General features: G+C 45.6%; 1 protein-coding gene across 3 annotated transcripts in view, besides 6 other annotated features; it reads left to right on the top strand.

Moving 5' to 3' along the window:
* Positions 1–23,083, top strand: part of PRAG1 (PEAK1 related, kinase-activating pseudokinase 1) — a 68,704-nt gene that overhangs the window by 2,368 nt on the left and 43,253 nt on the right. For all 3 annotated transcript variants that reach the window (NR_163138.1, NM_001080826.3, NM_001369759.1), the window contains exons 2-3: positions 2,238–2,654; positions 5,994–7,825. Coding sequence is in view for 2 of the 3 variants with exons in the window: in NM_001080826.3 (NP_001074295.2) it covers positions 2,325–2,654; positions 5,994–7,825 (2,162 nt within the window). In the remaining variant the exon portion in view is untranslated. The remainder of the gene's footprint in view (positions 1–2,237; positions 2,655–5,993; positions 7,826–23,083) is intronic.
* Positions 1,969–2,489: an enhancer, noted in NCBI's record as "H3K4me1 hESC enhancer chr8:8239093-8239613 (GRCh37/hg19 assembly coordinates)". NCBI's record gives its function as "activates a minimal SCP1, AML or CMV promoter by ChIP-STARR-seq in naive H9 embryonic stem cells {active_cell/tissue: H9 hESC(naive)}" and the evidence as "EXISTENCE:reporter gene assay evidence [ECO:0000049][PMID:30033119]".
* Positions 2,490–3,012: an enhancer, noted in NCBI's record as "H3K4me1 hESC enhancer chr8:8238570-8239092 (GRCh37/hg19 assembly coordinates)". NCBI's record gives its function as "activates a minimal SCP1, AML or CMV promoter by ChIP-STARR-seq in naive H9 embryonic stem cells {active_cell/tissue: H9 hESC(naive)}" and the evidence as "EXISTENCE:reporter gene assay evidence [ECO:0000049][PMID:30033119]".
* Positions 7,048–7,987: an enhancer, noted in NCBI's record as "H3K4me1 hESC enhancer chr8:8233601-8234540 (GRCh37/hg19 assembly coordinates)". NCBI's record gives its function as "activates a minimal SCP1, AML or CMV promoter by ChIP-STARR-seq in naive H9 embryonic stem cells {active_cell/tissue: H9 hESC(naive)}" and the evidence as "EXISTENCE:reporter gene assay evidence [ECO:0000049][PMID:30033119]".
* Positions 12,714–12,813: a silencer, noted in NCBI's record as "silent region_18894". NCBI's record gives its function as "represses an Ori minimal core promoter by ATAC-STARR-seq in GM12878 lymphoblastoid cells {active_cell/tissue: GM12878}" and the evidence as "EXISTENCE:reporter gene assay evidence [ECO:0000049][PMID:35858748]".
* Positions 20,756–21,955: an enhancer, noted in NCBI's record as "MED14-independent group 3 enhancer chr8:8219633-8220832 (GRCh37/hg19 assembly coordinates)". NCBI's record gives its function as "activates an origin of replication core promoter dependent on BRD2, BRD4, P300/CBP and CDK7 cofactors, and independent of MED14, by STARR-seq in HCT116 cells {active_cell/tissue: HCT116}" and the evidence as "EXISTENCE:reporter gene assay evidence [ECO:0000049][PMID:35650434]".
* Positions 21,111–21,611: an enhancer, noted in NCBI's record as "H3K27ac hESC enhancer chr8:8219977-8220477 (GRCh37/hg19 assembly coordinates)". NCBI's record gives its function as "activates a minimal SCP1, AML or CMV promoter by ChIP-STARR-seq in primed H9 embryonic stem cells {active_cell/tissue: H9 hESC(primed)}" and the evidence as "EXISTENCE:reporter gene assay evidence [ECO:0000049][PMID:30033119]".

Here is a 23,083-nt window from a genome sequence, read left to right as displayed (position 1 = left end):
TGGTTTCCAAACTGTCTTCCTCCATCCCGCGGAGCAGGCATGGGAGCATCTGCCTGCAGTGGAGGTGGGCTGGACAGTGTCCTTTCTGTGGCCTAGAAGGTGTAGACAGTCTTCACCCATCAGCGTCCCAGGAAGGGACCTACTGCCTATTCCTGAAGGCTGGAATACTTCCTCTGCTTTTTCCCCCTCCCAAAACTTAGCAGCAAGGCTACAGTTCTCTGTGGCCTGAGATTATAAGAGAAAGACAAAACCTGGCTATTTCCTCCGCTTGTTGAAGCCCAGTGACCTCTTCTGGAGAACTTGGCAAAGAAGGAACCTGCTACTTGGGTGTATTTGGAGGAGGAGAAGAACCTAGCTAACAGTCTTCTTAAAGAAAAGGACCTGTGAGACCCTAACAATAACTGCTAAAAGATACTTTTCTTTTATTTCAGAGGATTTATTTAGCTTAAAGATGCAGTGGGCTTTATTCTTAACTTTTTTTTTGTTTTTTTAGACAGGGTCTCACTCTAGTCACCCAGGCTGGAGTGCAGTGGTGTGATCATGGCTCACTGCAGCCTTGACCTCCTGGGCTCAGGCAGTCCTCCTACCTCAGCCTCCCAAGTAGCTGGGACCACAGGCATGCATGGCTACACCTGGATAGTTTTTTTAAATAATTATTATCTTTGTAAAGACAGAGTGTCTCTGTGTTACCCAGGCTGGTCTCAAACTCCTGGGCTCAAGCGATCGTCCTGCCTCGGCCTCCCAAAGTGCTGGGATTACAGGCGTGAGCCACCGCGCCTGGCCTCAACCCATTTTTCACTTTGGAGGGAAAAGAGGCACACGTAGCTTCAGCACTTGTTGAATGAACACCCCTGTCTATGAGTGTGGAGATAAAAGAGAGCACTTCCCACAAACACTCTGGAATGATTTTTGGGGTACCCGGCTCATTCCACCTGGTTAGTCCTGTTGACAGTTTAGAGATTATCAAACTTAAGGCAGATCCTTATGGGAGGAAAGTGGAGAGAAAACCCTAAGGCAAAATGGTCCCTATTTAATGAGAACCTATTCACCCTTATGTTCTTAAGGAAGATTTTGCTCTTGAACATTCTCCTTATGGGAAGTCAGTTTATTTTAAATAGGCTAAGAAGAGCCAGGAGCAATGCGCAAATCACCACTGCAGGGAGGAGCCGCCTGCAAAGTTGGCTTCTGTTTCTAGAATGGGCAAACTCTCCCGTGTCTATGGGCTGGTCCAAGTTCTTGTGTTTGCCATAGTTTCCCCACCTGTAAAATTGGGACAACAGCTACCTGATGGAATGATTTCAAGGTAATTGGTTAATGGCTGCAACTCTTTGAGCTCCTTCTCAGTGGTGAATTTACAAGGGACCATGGTGCAAACTGTTACTTGCAGTTTTACTCTAAGAAGCAATGAATTTTTTGAGCAAGCCAATTGCCTTCTCTCCAGAGCCATCACTTGGAAATAGCTCTTCGTTAATCTCTTCTCTCTCTTATCATCTATCCAGCCACCTTTGACCATGAATTTGTCTTACTACTGGTTTGCCCCTTTGGCCTATAACACCCAGCATTGTGGACCTCAGCAGCACACGGTCAAGTAATGTATATTAAGCAAGGGATATTTCTCAAGATGCCAGACTCTGCATAAGGTCTAGAGGACAGGCCAGCACCCCACTTCTCCCGTTTCCCAACCATTCCTTTCTCCACCTGGTTGGAAGTGTGGATTACAATGCACCTTTCAGGGCCTAAAGCTGCCTCCCCTCTCACACAGTTCTTGGTCAAACATTATTTTCCAAAAGCCATTGTTTTTATTTGCTGTACTGCTTGACAGTTCTTGTTTCTGTGGGTCAGCGTCCCAGACTCTAGGCCCCGGTGTCAGGGAATACATGGATGACGTACCAGCTTCTCATCTTAAACCCTACGTGATTTCTTCCCATAACTGCCCAAAACCTCCCAGGATTTTAGGGGACTCCCCACCCAGGATTTTAGGGGACCGAAATGTCTTTTATTTACTCCTTTAAAGCAACAAGGCTATGTTTAGTTTTTACAGCTTCTGATAAGGCCACACCACCAGAGAATGTTTAAGAGCCTTGTGACAAATGGGCGAGGGTCCCAAAATAAATGGGATCCTAATCTTTACCTTTTTCTCCTCCTTCTCCCTGATCAAATAGTGAGACTCTAATTGATAATGCACCCATTGTCTGGCATGGCAAATCTCTAATCAGGAAACTGTCCTGCCTTTCTAGGAAGCCGCTCTGTGACCCACCTCTGAATCCCACAAAACTGCACCAGAGAGCCGGGCGCAAGATGAACCAGCACCCTGTCGGCTCAAGATGCACCAGACCCTCTGCCTGAACCCCGAGAGCCTGAAAATGTCTGCGTGCAGTGACTTTGTGGAGCACATCTGGAAACCCGGGTCCTGCAAGAACTGCTTCTGCCTGCGGAGCGACCACCAGCTGGTGGCCGGCCCTCCCCAGCCCAGAGCGGGCAGCCTGCCCCCTCCACCGCGCCTGCCTCCCAGGCCTGAGAACTGCCGCCTGGAAGATGAAGGTGTGAACAGCTCACCTTACTCCAAGCCCACAATTGCCGTGAAGCCCACCATGATGAGCTCCGAGGCCTCTGATGTGTGGACAGAGGCCAACCTGAGTGCCGAAGTCTCGCAGGTGAGGCTGACTAACACTCGTGGTATTTTTACAGGGGCTGCTCCTGTTTGAACACTTGGTGACTGGCTGGCAGCCAGGGAGGGCTGTTCCAGCAAGAAACCTGCAGGATAGCTTCCTGTCAGTTTGCCCTGAGATGGCTCCTGCCTGGGATTCGCTGTAGCTGCTCTCCTTTCTCTCTGTCCCTTTAGGCTAAGAATCATTAATCCAGTCCCCCAGAATTTCCTCCTGTGATTTGCAGACTGTGTAGGGCAGACAAAAAATGAAGCTTTTTTAAAAAAAAGTTTTAAATTTTCTTAGTTGATCATTTTAAATATATATACAAGTAGCAATAATTGCAAAGTGAATTGCATGCACCCAATACCCTTCAATATGAACTTCAGCAACCATCAACTCCTGACCAATCTTATTTCACCTCCCTCACACTGACCCCCTTCCCTATGATTTTAAAGCAAACCCAGATATCACATCATTTCAATAAATACCTTTCAAAGATAAAGTCTTTCTGAAAAACATAACCACAATACCATTATCACACTTAATTTTTTTTTTTTTTTTTTTTTTTTTTGAGATGGAGTCTCTCTCTGTCGTCCAGGCTGGAGTGTAGTGGTGCGATCTCAGCTCACTGCAATCTCTGACTCCCTGGTTCAAGCGATTCTCCTGCCTCAGCCTCCTGAGTAGCTGGGATTACAGGCACCCACCACCATGCCCAGCTAATTTTTGTATTTTTAGTAGAGATGGGTTTCACCACGTTGGCCAGGATGGTCTCGATCTCTTGACCTTGTGATCTGCCCACCTCGGCCTTCCAAAGTGCTGAGATTATAGGCGTGAGGCACCGCTAATTTTTCTTTTCTGTCACTCAGGCTGGATCTCAGCTCACTGCACCTTCTGCCTCCAGGGTTCAAGCAATTCTCCTGCCTCACCCTCCCAAGAAGCTGGGGCTATAGGTACATACTGCCATGCCCAACTAATCTTTGTATTTTTAGTAGAGACGAGGTTTCACCATGTTGGCTAGTCTGGTCTCTAACTCCTGACCTCAAGTGATCCACCTGCCTCAGCCTCCCAAAGTGCTGAGATTATAGGCGTGAGCCACCGCGCCTGGCCTATTTTTTTAGTTTTTAATTTTTATTTTATTTATTTATTTTTTTTTGAGACAGTCTCAGTGTTGCTCAGGCTGGAGTGCAGTGTTGCGATCTCGGCTAACTGCAATCTCCACCTCCCAGGCTCAAGTGATCCTCCTGTCTCAGCCTCCTAGGAATCTAAGACTAGAGGTACATGCCACCATGCTTGGCTTATTTGGCGTTTTTTTGTTTTTGTTTTTGTTTTTTGGTGGAGATAGGATCTTGCTGTCTTGCCCAGGCTGGTCTTAAGTTCCTGGTCTCAAACTCCTAGGCTCAAGTGGTCCATCTGCCTCAGCCTCCCATAGTGCTGGGATTATAGGCATAAGCCACCATGCCTGGCCCCACACTTCAGAATATTAGCAGTAATTCCTTAATATTATCTAATACCCAGCCAGTACTCCTGTTTCCAATTTTGAAGCTTGGATTTTACCAGCTTTCTTCTAGGGTCACTAAAAACAGTTACAACCTAGAGGCTAGACCATTCTGCTCATTCCACAGGTAACCTTTACAAACTCAGAGGGCACATAGCCCGGGTCTGCTGGCATCTGCTGTCTTTAGACACATTTAGGAAGCTATGTGGCTAAGACATATCCTAGGAACTGCTTGCTACCTGTTTGACCTCTTTGCCTGTTCTAGTTTTCTTGACCAATATGGTGAGTAGGTCAGGAAGGCTGTGTGAGCATATATGAAAACTAAGGTCAATTCTAAATCAGGGGAGTCTTCATTGAGGAGAGGCATTTCCTTTGGTTGCAGTGAACTTGATGTCCCCTTCCGGGCTGCTCTGTTTTTTCCTAAGCTGCTTACACCCATTCTCCAGGCCATTCTCAATACCTTCAACCTTCACCAACCTGAGCCAGGGACTCTTTAAGCTCAGAATCACCTGGGAAAGAAGCCAGAGGCAGGCCCTGCTTTGAGGCTGCTTCTAAAAGTGGGGGTAAAGGAGGACTTTAGACCAGAAGGAGGAGGAAACGGTGACTTCAGGGATGGTAATGACCAGTCCACATCTCTGTCTCATAGCCCAACGAGTCCAACCACTCGCACAGGCTCAGGCTGAGGTCACTGCTGTAGGCGGGAGAAAGATGACCTCTGGCATAGTTGGAAGCAAAGCACAGAAAGAAGCGAGGAAGCCCAGGTCCAGTTCAGAAGCCACCCCTCACCCTGATCCAGCTCAGAAAACACCCCTCACTCTGATCCAGTTCAGAAGCCACCCCTCACCCTGATCCAGTTCAGAAACCACCCCTCACTCTGATCCGGTTCAGAAGCCACCCCTCACCCTGATCCAGTTCAGAAACTACCCCTCACTCTGATCTGGTTCAGAAACCACCCCTCACCCTGATCCGGTTCAGAAACCACCCCTCACCCTCCTGTTCTGCCCACACCCACCCACCCAATGTGTTTCTTTTTTCTTTATTATTATTATTATTAATTATCATTATTTTTGGTACAGGGTCTGGCATTGTCGCCCAGGCTGGAGTGTGGTGGTGTGATTTGGGTCACTGCAACCTCCGCCTCCTGGGCTCAAGACATCCTTCCACCTCAACCTCCCAAGTAGCTGGGACTGTAGGTACACACCACCACGCCCACCAAGTTTTTGTATTTTTTTGTAGAGATGGGATTTGGCCATGTTGCCCAGGCTCGTCTTGAACTCCTGGGCTCAAGCAATCTGCCCTCCTCGGCCCACCATAGTGCTGGGATTACAGGTATGAGCCACGGCATCTGGCTCCAGTGTGTTCAGTGTGTTTTAAAAACACTTAAGACTTCGATTTCTTCAGGCATGCACTGTGATTGGGTTATCAAAAAACCCACAAACTCAAAGCAAAAATTAAACAAAACCCCAAGCTCCATTTTCCAATCCAGTGGAACAACTTGTGTCACCCAGCAGCTGGTTGCAAGGGAGGAAGAAGGCACAGTGTTCTTTTTCAGAGTTATATTTTTCTTTTCCTACTTCACAGACTTAAGCCAAAAGCATTACAGTCCATGGGTAGGAAGGGCAGCTCAGTGTCTGGGAAGACAAATGGCTCAGCGGGTGCCCCAGCAATGATCACAGGGCCGTGGGGAGATGAGAAGGTGGGCGTGCACTGAGTCCCCGGCCCCAGCGCCCCTGCACTGCACTACAGAAGACATTCTACAGTATCGTTGCCCTTCCCTCTCACTTTTCCTCTCTCTCTTTTTTCTATGACAAGTTCTAATATAAGTCTTTTTGCGTTGGGCTTGTGTGTAGGTCATCTGGAGACGAGCCCCTGGCAAGCTCCCCCTCCCGAAGCAGGAGGATGCCCCCGTCGTCTACCTGGGCAGCTTCCGAGGTGTACAGAAGCCTGCTGGTCCCTCTACCTCCCCTGATGGCAATTCTCGCTGTCCCCCAGCTTACACCATGGTCGGCCTGCACAACCTTGAGCCCCGCGGCGAGAGGAACATTGCCTTCCACCCGGTGAGCTTCCCGGAGGAGAAGGCTGTGCACAAAGAAAAACCCTCATTTCCTTACCAAGACCGGCCCTCCACCCAGGAGAGCTTCCGCCAGAAACTGGCTGCCTTTGCTGGGACCACATCTGGCTGTCACCAGGGCCCTGGGCCCCTGCGGGAATCCCTGCCCTCGGAGGATGACAGTGATCAAAGGTGCTCGCCCTCCGGGGACAGCGAGGGTGGAGAGTACTGCTCCATCCTGGACTGCTGCCCTGGGAGCCCTGTTGCCAAGGCTGCCTCCCAGACTGCAGGTTCCCGGGGCAGGCATGGTGGCAGGGACTGCTCACCCACGTGCTGGGAGCAGGGGAAGTGTTCCGGGCCCGCAGAGCAGGAGAAGCGGGGCCCGAGCTTCCCCAAGGAGTGCTGTAGCCAGGGCCCCACTGCCCACCCATCCTGCCTGGGCCCCAAGAAACTGTCCCTCACCTCGGAGGCTGCCATTTCTTCCGACGGCCTCTCTTGTGGCAGCGGCAGCGGCAGCGGCAGCGGCGCCAGTAGCCCCTTCGTCCCCCACCTCGAGAGTGATTACTGCTCCCTCATGAAGGAACCTGCCCCAGAGAAGCAGCAGGACCCTGGCTGCCCAGGGGTGACCCCTAGCAGATGCCTTGGGCTGACGGGGGAGCCCCAGCCCCCGGCCCACCCCCGGGAGGCTACACAGCCTGAACCCATCTATGCTGAGAGCACCAAGAGGAAGAAGGCAGCTCCGGTGCCTTCCAAGTCACAGGCCAAGATAGAACATGCAGCTGCTGCCCAGGGCCAAGGCCAGGTATGCACAGGTAATGCCTGGGCCCAGAAAGCAGCATCTGGCTGGGGCCGGGACAGCCCAGACCCAACTCCCCAGGTGTCAGCCACCATCACAGTCATGGCGGCCCACCCGGAAGAGGACCATCGGACGATCTACCTGAGCAGCCCTGACTCTGCAGTGGGGGTGCAGTGGCCACGAGGGCCTGTGAGCCAGAACTCCGAGGTAGGTGAAGAGGAGACTTCGGCTGGGCAGGGGCTGAGCTCCAGGGAAAGCCATGCTCACAGTGCCAGCGAGAGCAAGCCCAAGGAGAGGCCCGCCATTCCCCCCAAGTTGTCCAAGAGTAGCCCTGTAGGGTCCCCGGTGTCACCGTCTGCTGGAGGGCCCCCAGTGTCACCGCTGGCTGACCTTAGTGATGGGAGCTCTGGCGGCAGCAGCATTGGGCCCCAGCCTCCATCCCAAGGTCCTGCTGACCCCGCTCCTTCCTGCCGGACCAACGGTGTCGCTATCAGTGACCCATCCAGGTGTCCCCAGCCTGCCGCCTCGTCAGCCTCGGAACAGAGGCGGCCCAGGTTCCAGGCAGGCACCTGGAGTCGTCAGTGCCGGATAGAGGAAGAAGAGGAGGTGGAGCAGGAATTGCTGAGTCACAGCTGGGGAAGAGAGACCAAAAATGGCCCCACGGACCATTCAAACTCCACGACCTGGCACCGTCTCCACCCCACAGATGGCTCCTCTGGGCAGAACAGCAAAGTTGGGACCGGGATGAGCAAATCCGCCTCTTTTGCCTTTGAGTTCCCCAAGGACAGAAGTGGGATTGAGACATTCTCACCTCCTCCTCCGCCTCCAAAGTCGCGGTGAGTACCATTGTCTGCCTGGGACTCTGTCTGCAGGGCAAAGGGCTCTTCCAGAAGAAACCTTTGCCCTCATCAAAGCTTTCAGGCCCAGGTCCCAGAATCTGCCCAAAGGCCCTTGTGCCTTTATGTAAATTTCCCAGGGTCCCAGTGCAGCCCTCGGAGAGCAGGAGTTGTGGCCCTCTTTGTACCCAGCAAACAAACCTACTTGTGGTCCCTGCTTGGGATTGGTGATTTAAAATCAATCTTTCACCAAGCTGTTGCCATTTGTTGGTGCCTGTATTTTTATAATCTGGTCCTCTTTTTATTCCCCAGTTCTCTGAAGTGTCTTCAGTAGGCTTTTTTCCAGGAAGTCCTGAATATTTTCCGTTAATTTAAACATGCAAAAGAGGGCAAAAGGAGGTTATGCTACAAGATTTAGGGAGGGCTGGGTATGATGGCTCATGCCTGTAATCCTAACACTTTGGGAGGCCGAAGCAGGAGGATTACTTGAGCCCAGGTGTTTGAGACCAGCCTAGGTAACATAAGGAGATCCTGTCTCTATTTTCTTTAAATAATAACATTTTTAAAGTTAAAGTTAAAAAAAATTTTTTTAAAGATTTGGGGAGGCAAACAGTTAATGCCAAATAAATGCGTGCTCAATAAACTGTTACCACAATGGTGATTAGGTCTTGGGGCCAAAAGCAGAAAAGAGGAAGTTTTACATGTGGTTAGGAACCCTCAGATGTGGGTTTTTAAAGAAAAAAATGGGGCTGGGCGTGGTGGCTCACGCCTGTAATCTCAGCACTTTGGGAGGCCGAGGCGGGCGGATCACGATCAGGAGATCGAGACCATCCTGGCTAACACAGTGAAACCCCGTCTCTACTAAAAATACAAAAATTAGCCAGGCGTGGTGGCGGGCGCCTGTAGTCCCAGCTACTGGGGAGGCTGAGGCAGGAGAATGGCGTGAACCCGGGAGGTGGAGCTTGCAGTGAGCCGAGATGGTGCCACTGCACTCCAGCCTGGGCGACAGAGTGAGACTGTCTCAAAAAAACAAAAAAAAAAACAAAGAAAAAAATGTAGTTTTGTGTTAGCATGCTGAAACTCAGTTTTCCCTACTGCTTCCCTGCTATCTCCTATCAGTTTAAAGTACCTTTTAAAGACTCGAGAAAAATAAATTTTTTTTTTTTTTAGTTATTGAGCTGTGCATGGGTTTTAAATGCTGGGGAAAAAAAATTTCTCTCGATTAGAGCGAAACTGATTTCTGTTAGGAAAAGGAGAAACCTACTGTTTTTCAAAAAATTACAGCGTTTCTGAACAGACTTTCTCGAGTCATGTCATTTCAAGTGGTTCTGTTTCAGCTGATGTGCCTCTGGGCTGATGTCAGAAACAAGGAAATTGACCACAGAGAGAAGCAGTCAGGACGCTTGACTTTGAACATCACGGCGTCTCAGGCACTGATGTGATCTAACGTGGGTTTTTTTCTCATGACCACTACTTTGTTCTGGTATTGCACTGGCCGCCCACCATGGAGAACAGACATCTTCCAGATCCTGAGGTGATTGCAGACTCTTTGGCAGCCGCGTGTAGTCCCCGAATGAATGAGAGATTCAGCAGCTAAGATGAGCTTCCATTTATATGGCACTCACTATGGGCCAGGGATGGATTTAAAAGAATTAGACATAACAACTCATTTCATCCTCAGAACAGCCCTAAGAGGTAGGAATTGCCAGCCCCAATTTACAGATGACAAAGCAGAGATAGAAAGCTAGGGTAACCAGCCTAAGGTTCCTGCTGTACCTGCAAGACTCCTAAGTCTACGCTCCTCCTGAACCTACAGGACATCAAGGAGCATGGAAATTGAGCAGGGCGTGAGAGTAAAACATCCAAATTGTATCTGCCTGCCTCAGTCCTGGGTAAATTAGTGGAAAGCACAGGTATTGGCATTAGAAAACCAAGTTCCTATTCCCTCTCTCTCACAAATGGAGTGACCTTGTATAAGCCACTCACTGTGACTGAGTCTCCAGTCCCTTCTCTAAAAGAGTTGGTCTCTAAACTGAGAGTCTGGAGTCTCTTCTCTAAAATGAGATGATAATAGTACTTTGATAACACCCTGCTATTGTAAACCTCTAATGAGACAAACAATGGAATCCAATGCAGAGGTTAGTGATGATGTAGGCAGAAGCCACCCAGGCTGCTGATTGTGCAATGACACCCACACCCTATGGGAACTAGCATGGCTCAATCCCAGGAACGCCACTCTGAGCCTTGGAGAAGTAACTAAAATTTACTCCTTTAAGAATCTCGGGGCTTGGAGAAATCCCAGTAACCATAGCAACATGACTCAGGTAGGGTTTTAATTAGCATCTGGGTTGAGATCAGAGTTTTTTCGGCCCAGTTTGTTATGATAAAACCCTTAGATTGCATATAGCTCAAGCTTGATGGGAATCTTGGAGGTTCAAGGTTTCAGCTCTTAAAAAATAAACAAGTTAGAGGAGAAAAAAGAATTAAAAAGAAGGGCCGGACTTAGTGGCTCATGCCTGTAATCATAGCACTTTGGGAGGCCAAGGCAGGCAGACTGCTTGAGCCCAGGACTTTGAGACCAACCTGGGCAACATGGTGAAACCCAGTCTCCACCAAAAAAGATATGAAAATCAGCCAGGGATGGTGGCACATGCCTGTCATCCCAGCTTCTCTGGGGGCTGAGGTGGGAGGATGGCTTGAGCCCAGAAAGTGGAGGTTGCAGTGAGCTATGATTGTGCCACTGTACTCCTGCCTGAGCAACAGAGCAAGACCCTGTCTCAAAAAAAAAAAAATCTAGAAAATAAAATTAGCTTAAGAGAACACAGAAAAACAAGAGCATCTTATTTTATTCAAAATAAACTAGAATATATTTTCATTTGGGGAAGCATTTTCATTTCTCAAGCATTACTGACATTATCTTTCGGATCTCCCTGTGAGAAGATAAGAGGGCAGGCCTGGGAACATATGCTGACTTTTAATTCTGGAACTCAGTACCTCCGCTGGGGATAGTGCCAGGAACCCCAGAGTCTTCCAACCTAGTAGGTCAGGGTGTTGGCAAATCAGAGTGTTAGTGAGAATGCAGCCAGCAGTTGATCCGGCACCAATTCCAGTACACACTGGTAATTATGGCAGGCTGATGTCAGTTTTCCAAAATGGAAGAACGTGAAAGGTCTTCAAGCAACATACAAGGTCAACCTGATTTCTTCACATGGGCCCATTTGTGAAATAGATCCTATTTCTAATGATCAGCTTCATTATGTGCGTTACCTACGCTCACACCTCTAGAAAAAGGACTTGCTTCATACAGGACACTGTTTCTTTCCACTTACATGGTGTGAGAGAGACAGATCGTCTGCTTCCTTAGGTCATTATGGAAGAACGGGGAATGATTTTCTCTTTTGCCTGTTGTTCTGTTTATCGCCCTATTTTACAAAACTGATTCTGACCTGGAGGGAAAAAAATAGATGTTAAGAATGACTTGGCTTTCCTGTGGTCCTGTTTTGAATGTTTGGCAGTAGCTTATCTGTCTTTTTGAGATATTGTCCTCTGTAAACTCCCATTCGTGTTCCTGAGAAACCTCTTGCTGGAGTGCCCTGCAGGAGAAAGGCTCTCCATGCTCATTTTATGCCCAGAACAGTTCTTCTTTGGAGGAGGTTAAGTGCCTGCCCAACCCTCCAACCCAGGCGGGTACGGCAAGGCCTGGATACTTCCTTCCCTGTTGCCGTCAAGGCAAGCTTTTATACCCACAAAGTCACACTTACTAAGAATGATGGATCTCACAGAGTCTCTGGGTCACCCCTGTCCCAATATAAGGCAGAATTATAAGATGAGGATCAACAAATACTGCTGGTTAGGAAACAAAAATACTTCAGGAAAGAAGGGTGAACTCATAGTTTAAATGTCATGCTTAAGACTTAATGGCAATTTGGCCAGGCATGGTGGCTGACACCTATAATCCCAGCACTTAGGGAGGCCAAGGCGGGTGGATCACTTGGGGTAAGGAGTTCAAGACCAGCCTGGCCAACATTAACGAGAACAGCAGAGCTGGGGAAACAATTAAGATGAGAAAGAACCAAATTGCTTTCTGCCTTTTGCTTTTTCACAGATGCAAACCCGGTTTTAAATGACTTAATGACTTTTGGGTGACTAGGTCAGCTGAAAGAGAATCATCTGGTTAGTGCAGATAAGCGTTTCACCAAGAAACCTCAAGTTAGGAGAAGAGGCCTGAGCCCAGGTGGAATTGAGGATGACAGGTGACTAAGAAATAAGACCGATTCATGTGGTTTCAGTGTCTAAATGGTCTGGCCCTAGGTGAGACTAATCAAAAGAAAAATTTCCCCAAGAAAGTGGGTGACGTCTTTGTTTTTTGTGTGTTTCGTTTTGAGACAGAATCTCACTCTGCCGCCCAGGCTGGAGTGCAGTGGTGCCATCTCACTGCAGCCTCCACTTGTCAGACTCAGGTGATCCTCTCACCCCAGCCTCCTGAGTAGCTGGGACTACAGGCACGTGCCACCATGCCCCCGCTAATTTTTATATTTTTGTAGAGACGGAGTTTCACCATGTTTCCCAGGCTGGTCTCGAACTCCTGGGCTCAAATGATCCACCTGCCTCAGCCTCCCAAAGTGTTGGGATTGCAGGCATGAGCCACCACGCCCAGCTGATGTCTTTGTTTGAAAGTTATCACTCATGGTCGGGCGCGGTGGCTCACACCTGTAATCCTAGCACTTTGGTAGGCCAAGGCGGGTGGATCACGAGGTCAGGAGATCGAGACCATCCTGGCTAACACGGTGAAACCCCTCTCTACTAAAAATACAAAAAATTAGCCAGGCGTGATGGCGGGCGCCAGTAGTCCCAGCTACTCGGGAGGCTGAGGCAGGAGAATGACGTGAACCCGGGAGGCGGAGCTTGCAGGGAGCCGAGATCGCACCACTGAGCTCCAGCCTGGGCGACAGAGCGAGACTCCACCTCAAAAAAAAAAGAAAGTTTTCGCTCAATTGAATTTCAATTTTAACCCACAACTTGCTAAATTCACCCCTTTTTCTGTGGGGCTGCTGGGGAGCAGAGGTTAAATCTATTCTTGGGCTTTTGCTCACTCTTTTTTTTTTTTTTTTTTTTGAGACAGAATCTCTGTCGCTCAGGCTGGAGTACAGTGGTGGTACCTTGCCTTACTGCAACCTCCGCCTCCCGGGTTCAAGCGATTTTCCTGCCTCAGCCTCCCAAGTAACTGGGATTACAGGTGCGCCACCACGCATGGCTAATTTTTATATTTTAGTAGAGATGGGGTTTCACCGTGTTGCTCAGGCTGATCTCGAACTCCTTACTTCAAGTAATCCACCTGCCAAAGTGTTGGGATTACAGGTGTGAGCTACAGCCCCCGGTCTTTTGCTCACTCTTAATTCTCCTCCTGAGCTGCTTCTCAGTAGACAGGTAGTGACAGTGTCATGAGTGGAGTTCGTTTCTGTCCACAGAAGTGGCCACATCAGTAACCAGAGGAACTGACATGACTTCACTGTGTGGGCTCTCCTGTAACATGATCTCTGGGCATGAACCGGGAGGATGGGCATAGGATGAGTGAGATGGGTGTTTGTCTCCAGTGTCCACATCGAATCTGATTAGAGCTTCCAATGTGTTCTTCTAGAGGCCCTTTCTGCTATAATGGATGACAGACAGTTGGGTGGCAACATTTTACTAGGAAATCCCATACTCTTGATGCATAACGGCCTTTTCTGGGCGGCATTTTGAAAATCACAGTTTGTATTAGGAAGCACTGTATTTAGAGAATCTTCATGGACTGTGTTTAGCCATTTTGACAAAACTTAAATAAGTAGGCTGGAGGTCAAGTTGGTCAGGGGAGAATGAATACTGGCCGTATTTCAGTGGCCCCCACAGATACACAGAGTTTGGCAAACAGAACAAAGCATATGTACCAACAATGCATGTTTATATTCTGTGCCATGCCAGGGGCAAATTCATAGTTGGCCTGTTTCCATAAGTGTGGGGATGGAACCTTGAAACACAGGACATCTCATAATGCTGTAAGCAGGGACCATTGAAATTGATTCCTAGAGTCTTGTTCTACAACTTCTTTAAAAATTACTGATTTGACAGCAGTATGTATTCAACATTTAAGACTTTCTGTCTAATTTTGAGCATACATTCTTGACTAAGGCTAGCAATTAGAGATTCTTTCTTTAATTTATCAGATATCTATTAATTGTCTACTTTTGAGTGGGCTCTGTGCAAGGCGCTAAAAAGCCAGTTACTGGGGTTCTGTTCCTTAAGGATCCTGAGAATTGAGTTGCTAAGAATTAAATCAGCAGGCGTGCAATATGACTGTCAAAGCTTGACCCCTGCTTTGATTCCCTTTGTTGAGACAGGTTCTTATAGGACCTGGATTCTCACCACATCCTCTGTTCTGTTTAGGGAACACAAAGGTAAGCTCAGCTCTGTGTCCAGGAGTACCTTATAGTCCTCTCCCTTAACTGTGTCTGTTTCAACTTGATCCAAGATCAGGATTAGTACAAGCTTGTAAAAAAAAAAAAAAAAAAGTTTATTTTTTACAAAATAGACCAGATGCACTTTGAAGGTAAAGTGCATGCTTAACCATCTGCAATTCCTAAGGTTGAGCTCAATGCATCACATGTAGTAGATGTTCAAGAAATGTTTGTTAAATGGGCAGTTGTAAACAGAGACAGTGCCGTGTTTATTTCGTTTTCCAGAAAGGCACCTGACTCCTTGCTTTGCACATAACAGGTGCTCAAGAAATGTTGAAGAAAAAAGCAAATTGCTTTGAATGCAGTGTATCCTAAAACCAGATTTCCAGGTTGCCCCAGTACTCTGTACAGGCCTCCATTTTGGCTGTTAACACAGTGTATCTTTTGTTACATTAAAATGGGTCCACGTTTGCATCTCCTCCGAAATTATAAACTCCTGGGAGTGCAGGGATGTGTCTCATACATTCTTCCTTGACTTTTCCACAGCATACCTTAGCACAGAGTTGGATATGTAGTAGATGTTCAATGGAGAATTACTGAATTTTCTTAAAAAAAAAAAAAAGCAAGCCAGAGTGAACTACAAATGTAATAGTTCCTGGCCTGATATTTCACTGGGGACCCATCATGATTCTGCAACTATTCTCGCTCAACAGAACATTACCACCTTGAGTTAAAGAGGCTAAGAAGCTAAGGTTAATCATTATTAATGATTCAAGGTGGGCAAACACCATGTGGGCACAATGCATCCTTTCATGGATTAATTACTCTCCAATGATTGTACATTTCATTCCTGCTACCGGTCTCTATTACCCTGCTTTTTTTTTTTTTTTTCAACCTGAGCAGGTGTGTAGAGCCAGCACTCTCTTGCCAAAATAATATTTTCTCAGGTAGTAATCATCTAAACACTTTTTTTTTTCCACCAGAGAGTTACAAGGAATTCTAAGGTGTGGTTTTGCTTGTCTGAGAATAGCTTTTCCATGCTTTGTCAGGTGCATTGGAAAATACAAGCTTAGGCAGTGTGGTCAGTCCCCCTCTGTCCCTGACGTCGTCAGAGGGACTTTGTTCCTAGAATGGCCAGCCTACATTTGATCTGCATAATTGGTTGTGAAACTCACCAATTGGTAGGAAATTTTCTGTTAGTGGCCCAAGGAATTTTTTGTTGTTGTTTTGGGATTGTTAATGCCCTCATTAAAGATCTTACGTTTCCTTCTATCAGGGTTGATAGACCAACTACAAAGAATATCCTGTGTCTCTTTCTGCAGTAATAAATTTCAGAGTTTAAAGATCAGAGTCTGCATCCTCTGTGCTTGCATTGCTCATTATTTCTTTCTATTGACTTTTGGGCAGAGCCCTAAAAATGTTGGGCGTTAGGAGTGTTTATACTATTCCCATACAACTCTGTAAAATTCCCTGCTTTAATTAGCTTCAGTCTGATGCACTGGACGGCTTCTCTGTGCTTCTCTGACAGGCAGACTTATATAAACAGCTGTTCTTTGTTGGATCATGAGAGGAGCTTCCAGGCCGAAGGCTACTTTAAAAAGTCGTTCATTTTTGTTCTCAGATATTTTCTCTCCAGTATACCTATCACTGTTGAATGTTCCCCCCAACTTCCCAGTAGTTTGGTTTTTAGCCATTTCATACCAATTTATACTTGTGCTATGATAACTTTTCTAAAGTCTAAAACCTAAACAAATAGCTGGTGGTGATATTACTTTATGTTCCTGAGGTGTAGAAAGCTCTTCAGAATAGCTTCTGCTCTTTGTGAGCTCCATATGGCAGTCAAAATTAATGAAATTAAAAAACACTATATACGGCCAGGCGTGATGGCTCACGCCTGTAATCCCAGCATTTTGGGAGGCTGAGGCAGGTGGATCACGAGGTCAGGAGATTGAGACCATCCTGGCTAACGTGGTGAAACCCCGTCTCTACTAAAAATACAAAAAATTAGCTGGGCATGGTGGCACGCACCTGTAATCCCAGGTATTCGGGAGGCTGAGGCAGGAGAATTGCTTGAACTCAGGAGGCGGAGCTTGCAGTGAGCTGAGATCACGCCACTGCACTCCAGCCTGGGTGACAGAGCGAGACTCCATCTCAAAAAACAAAAAACAAAACCACCAGATACATACAAGAACAGTTGAGATAAATTGACATAGTAGTAAGTAATATGACCTTATGACCTTGAAGGTCACGAAGAAAAGGAGGGAGAGTCCAATTTTAAAAGCAGTCAGCGTGGTGGCATCACTTAACGCGATTCTTTTTTTTTTTTTTTTTTTTTTTTTTTTTTTTTTTTTTTTGAGATGGAGTCTTGCTCCTTTCACCTAGGCTGGAGTGCAGTGGCACGACCTCAGCTCACTGCAACCTCTGCCTCCCGGGTTCAAGCGATTCCCCTGCCTCATCCTCCCGAGTAGCTGGGATTACAGGCGCCTGCCACCATGCCTGGCTGATTTTTGTATTATTAGTAGAGATGGGGTTCACCATGTTGGCCAGACTGGTCTTGAACTCCTGACCTCATGTGATCCACCCGTAATTCTTATATTATGTACAGATCAAAAGGATGGTAAGATTTTATGACTGCATATTGTTGAACCATGAGAACACTTGGGTTGCATCCTCCATGCCAATTCTGATCATTTGGAGCCCATGCATCAGGAATGCTGGCCATCATCTATTTGTGGTGTCTGCAGGTTGTAGGGAGGTGGGGGTGCAGATACATGTCATGTGCTGGCTATTTGCTGATTCAGCCATAAAATCTAAAATTTGTCTTCTAAAATGCATGATGTAGCTGGGCACGGTGGCTCATACCTGTAATCCTAGCCATTTTGGGAAGCAGGAGAATCACTTGCACCCAGGAGTTCAAGACCAGCCTGGGCAACATAGCGAGACACTACCTCAAAAAAAATTACAAAAATGAGTAGGGCATGGTGGCACATACCTGTAGTTACAGCTACTTGGGAGGCTGATGTGGGAGGATTGCTTGAGCCAGGAGGTCAAGGCTGCAGTCAGCCATGGTAACACCACTGCACTCCATCCTGGGTGACAAGGTCAGATCTTGTCTCAAAAAAAAAGATAAAAATAAAGTGCAAAATCTCAAGTGGTTAATACCCATTTTTGTTAGTAATTCAAGAGTTTAAGAGTTCCCAGCTGGGCTCAGTGGCTTACATCTGTAATCCCAGCACTTTAGAAGGCAGAGGCAGGAGGATCATCTGAGGTCAGGAGTTCAAGACCAGCCTGGCCAACATGGTCAAACCCTGTCTCTACTAAAAGTAAAAAAATTAGCCAGACATTGTGGCAGACGCATGTAATCTTAGCTACTCAGGAGGCTGAGGCAGAAGAATTGCTTGAACCCGGGAGTTGGAGGTTGCAGTGAGCCAAGATCATGCCATTGCACTCTAGCCTGGATGACAAGAGTGAAACTCCGTCTCAAAAAAAAAAAAAAAAAGAATTCCCATGCCTTTGGGTGGTAGGGGGACTCTGTCTAGCCACTTCTGTTTGGCAGATGACGGCCATTCTCTTTGAATAGAGACTCTAATTTTAGACCGAAATGCCAAAATGTCTTGTTTCTTCTTAGTGAGTGATTATGAACGTCCCATGAATTTTAACCATTTGTGGAACTCTGCATTTTAGTAAATAACAGTTACTATTAAGTTTATTACCCATTATTTAAAGGATTATTTTCCTTTATAGACCTTCAATTTACTGTTTCTATCCTTAAATCTTATTAAGCAATGTGTTTTCACTTAGCCTTATTTTGTTTGTTTGTTTGTTTGTTTGTTTTGAGACAGGGTCTCACTCTGTCACCCAGGCTGTAGTGCAAGCACGATCTCAGCTCACTGCAATCTCCACCTCTTGGGTTCAAGAGATTCTCCTGCCTCAGCCTCCCAAGTAGCTGGGATTACAGGGGCATACCACCATGTCCAGCTAATTTTTGTATATATATATGTGTGTGTATATATATATATATAGGGTTTCACCACATTGGCCAGGCTGGTCCCAAACTCCTGACCTCAGGTGATCCACCCTCCTTGGCCTCCCAAAGTGCTGGGATTACAGGTGTGAGTCACTGCACTCAGCCCACTTAGCCTTATTCTCTTTGGCTTGTTGCATATATTTATTTATTTATTTATTTTTGAGTTGGAGTTTCACTGTTGTTGCCCAGGCTGGAGTGCAATGGCGCGATGTCAGCTCACCACAACCTCCAACTCCTGGGCTTAAGTGATTCTCCTGCCTCAGCCTCCCGAGTAGCTGGAATTACAGGCACCTGCCACCATGCCGGGCTAATTTTTTGTATTTTTAGTAGAGACGGGGTTTCTCCATGTCGGTCAGGTGGTCTCGAACTCCTGACCTCAGGTGATCCACCTGCTTTGGCCTCCCACAGTGTTGGGATTACAGGTGTGAGCCACCATGTCCAGCCGTTGTATTGATTTTCAGTGCCCAGGATTGGGGAGTGAGGTGGCAGATGCAGGAGCTGTGTCAGAATCTTTGGGAGGGATAGTTTAACAATGAAAATTCAGTGATGTAACATAATTTAAATTGGGAAGATGAAAACAAAACTATTGTTTTCCTAACACATACTACTTATAGTTTTTCTGAATCTTCTCCACTGGTGAAAAGACAGACCATCATTTTTATAGAGATGCTTGATTGAAAACAGGTCATGTCTCCCTAGGAGAAAATAGAAGAAAACCAGGACAGAGATATTTGCTGACCTGTCATATTTCCTTGGTATCCTTTCTTCAAATCTTTCAAAATATCTTCTCTATATTCATGTCATCTTCAAGACGTGAAACAAGGAAATTGTCTGTACAGACAATTTCCAGACCCTTGATCCCAAACACTCTCAATGCTTGTCTGTGTTTCCTACAAAAAGCAGAAACCTGAGAAAGATAAGGAGTACTTTGCATGTAGAATAGAGAAGATCCTTACAGTTCAGGGTCTGAGATTCCATCTTGACATTCATTTGATCGCTAAATATTGAAGACTTCTTTTAGGTGGAGCCGTGACCATACATTGGTAGGAAAAGTACAGATTGCTTACGAGATGATTTTGGCACACTTGTTGACTGTATGGAGAAAACAAAAAAAAAAACAACATTGAAATCCTGCCATATAGTGTCATATAGTGTATGTAAAAGTGGACTGCAGATGGAATAATGATCCAAATGAGAAAAATAAGACCAAAAAGCAAATTTAAAAACATTCACAGCATTTTTAAGACCCTAGAAGAATAAGCCATAAAATGATGGCTTTGACTTCATCAAATTAAGGATTTCTGTTGAACTGAGGATGCCATCAGCAGTTAATAGATGGGTGAGAAATTAAAGCAGTGTATCAAAGACTGACAAGGCATTAACATGTAAGGTGCTCTTGTAATTCAAGCAGAACAATATGTGGAAACCAGTAGAAAAACAGGCAAAAACATGGATAGGCAGTTAACAGGAGGGAAAAGCTAAATGCAGGGCAAGAATTTGAAGAGCTACTTAACTTCATTAATAATCAGAGAAGCATAAAACAGTAAAATAGCACATTATGTCCATCAGATTGATGACAATTACAAAGTGGGATAATTCCAAATTTCAGCAAAAATACAGGAAAATGGCTATTAAACAGCTGTTAAATTAAGTATGAGACTACATCTTGTCCCCACAACCTTCATTCCTGAGTATATATTCACACAGGTCAGTAAGGGGACATAAACAAGGAAGTTTGTCATAACATTATAGTAGCAGGGAGTTAGAGCAAGTCCAGGTATTCATCTCTAGAGAAATAGGTAAGTAAAATGTTATGATTATGAAATAAACTATTTAATAGCAGTCAGAAGCAATGAACTAGAAATATGTCCAGAAACATGGGTGAACCTCATACTGGTATTGACTGAAATAACTAAGAGAATGAAATCTATAGCACAATATACTTAATATAAATTAAATATAAACAGTTTCATAAAATAACACTATGTCTGTTTTTAAGGAAAGCTGCATTCTTAACCTTTTATGTAGTTTTTAAAAAATAGACATACACATAAAATATGTATATATGTTACATATAACATAAAATTCACCATCGTAACCATTTTAAAGTATAAAGTTTAATAGTAGTTTCCATTTGTTGTATATTAAATCAGTCTCCAGGGAAGTCTTTTCATTTTACAAAACTGAAACTCTCCACCTTTAAACAACTTCCTGTTTCTCCCTTCCCTTAGCCTCTGGGAACCACCATTACTTTCTGTCTCTGAATTTGACTACTCTAGGTACCTCATATAAATGGAATCATCCAGTACTTGTCTTTTTGTCATTTGCTTGTTTCACTTAGCATAATGTTCTCAAGTTTCATCCATCTTGTAGCATGTGTCAGAATTTCCTTCCTTTTAAAAGTTGAGTGATAGTCCATTGCATGTATATACCGTTGTACTATTGTGAAATACATATTTGGTCTTTTTCCAGTGTCCTGGCAAACAACTCCTAAAATTTTTGGTATCTTCAAAGTTGTGAAAATTAAAAAGTTCCTCTTCAAAGTTTCCTTTTTATTAAGGAATAAGTCATAAGTGTTAGAAGTAATAGTTTCTCTTAAAGACTAGCTTTTTGCAATAACTCTTTGTTAAACCTTATATAGTCATTAAGTGTAAAAGGATAAGTATATTATATATAAGTATATATATATATACACACGCACACATATATATATCTATATATCTATATCTATATATATATATCTTTATACTTTAACTACAATATTAGTTTTGGCTTGCTCAGGCATGTCTCAGCATGCCCAGGCATGTCCCAGCTCACAGCTTATGTCTCTTCCTTATTTGGAAATGTTATTGCTTCTATAAGCCTTTACATAAGCGACTTCCTCTTTTCCTTTGTTCTGCACAGTCTTTACCTATTTAGGAAAGTTTTGGATTGTTAGCCAATCAGGCTAAGCTTAGACTGTGAGGTCCAGCTCCAGCCAGTAGAGATAGGACAGAGCAATAGGGACTTTACATGTAAGGGATAAATATTCCTGTGTCTCTTCGTTCAGTGTGCTCTTGTGGCAGGATTGCTGATGGGCAGTACCCTTTCTGCAGAAAGTACTGAGAAAAGTTTTTATCTGACTACTGATTCTTCTTTGTGGCACCGAGGAATAAGCATTTATTTCCAACAGTTTGGGGGCTCATCCAGGATCACCCATTCTCCTCTGGGGCAGGGTCTCTGATCTTTCTCCTAGGGGAGGTGCCCCACTGCCTTGTTGCAGTGGCCTCAGGGGTTGGGAATCAGAACTCACCTGTTGTAATGAATAAACCCAGACTCTCAGCAACACGGGAAAGGATGGACAGGCTTGCACTGCTGTGGCAACCAGGTAAACTCTGTGCACAGACCAAGTAAGAAACGTCACAGGGGTGTGACAAAGTACTTCCTTGGTGGTCCAGATACTCTGGAAGTTGAAAGTGTGTGTGAATGGTCTCAAGCCATGCGGTGTTGCTTGTGTGGATGGTGACAAGTCCTGCTGGACGGAGTGGGTGGGTGCTACCTGTGGTTCCATGGCCACCTCATACAGCTTAGGGCAGATCCTGACGTGGGTTTATATCAGCATGCCAATGCTAAGAGGAGCCTAAATTTCCATTAGGGAAGCAGCCAGGTAGGACGAAGTGAGTGAAGAGTGTAAGAAAGCTCCAGGGGTGGGGGAAGAGGAGTTAAGATCCTCCCCAGGGAAAATGAAACCTCAAGTGCGTGAGGTTAGGAATTTAAGCAAGCTAGGGAAAAACAGGATAGACAAGAAGTCTCTAGAATTAAGAAGTTGAGTCTACCCAGCATTCAGTATGGGAAATGTTTCTAGTAAATTGGGAGCGAAGAAAGATGCAAGTGATCAGATTCCCCCTAATAATCCTTTAGGGTTTATGTTAAAGATTGGTAAGATAATGAAACAACTAAATTCAAAAAGAAGCAGTAGATGATTAAGTATTGTTGCTTCATTTGAACTAAAGAGCCAATCCTCCAGCCAGCAGTTGTTTGGCCAAAATTTGGGTCAGATGAAGATTGAGTCTGTCAACTTTTAAAAATGTATGTTAATGACAAGCCTGTAATTGAAGGACTTATTAAAGATGGGCTGCTCGAACCTTGTATGTCCCCATCCAATACTCCAATTTTCCTGCATCACAAGAAGAAATAGATTGATTATGCTCTATGCTGGTGGCAAGGGCCTGTTCTTCTTTACCCTCTGAAAACAGGTGAAGGGGGACAGGAGAACAAGGAAGAGTCAGAGATTGCCTCATCTGATAAGAAATGGGACCCTCTAGACCACCTTCCCCCATTTCTTAATAACCCACTGCCACCTCCCCAGGCAGCTGCTGCTGCCCTGTACCCCCTTCCGGACCCGATCCCAGACCTGACTGCTGCTCCAGGCCCTTCCATGTTATTTCCTCCCACCATATAACCCAGATTCTTGGGAATTCCAGGAATCTGGGCATTCTAAATATCCTTCCTTAAAGAAAGGACTTCAGCAGGAGATAGAGCAATGTAAAAAGGATATTCAGAATCTTCCCTTTCCTCCCCTACTAAGAGGTCAACTTCAACGTTCTTTCCTTTAAGGGAAGTTCCTCAGTGAGGGGGACATTGACTTTGTAAATGCTCCCCTAACTGGGTCTGAGGTCCGAAGTCTGAAAAAGGAACTCAAGCTACTGTTAGATGATCCTTATGAGATGTCAGATCAAATTGATCACTTTTTAGGCCCTCAGTTATATACTTGGGCTGAATTAATTTCCATCCTGGATATCCTCTTTTCAGGGGAAG

This window comes from Homo sapiens, chromosome 8, assembly GCF_000001405.40.
Source record: "Homo sapiens chromosome 8, GRCh38.p14 Primary Assembly".
In the NCBI taxonomy this organism is placed as follows: domain Eukaryota; kingdom Metazoa; phylum Chordata; class Mammalia; order Primates; family Hominidae; genus Homo; species Homo sapiens.
The sequence above is the reverse complement of the archived record's forward strand: the minus strand, read 5'-3'. Positions and strand labels throughout refer to the sequence as shown.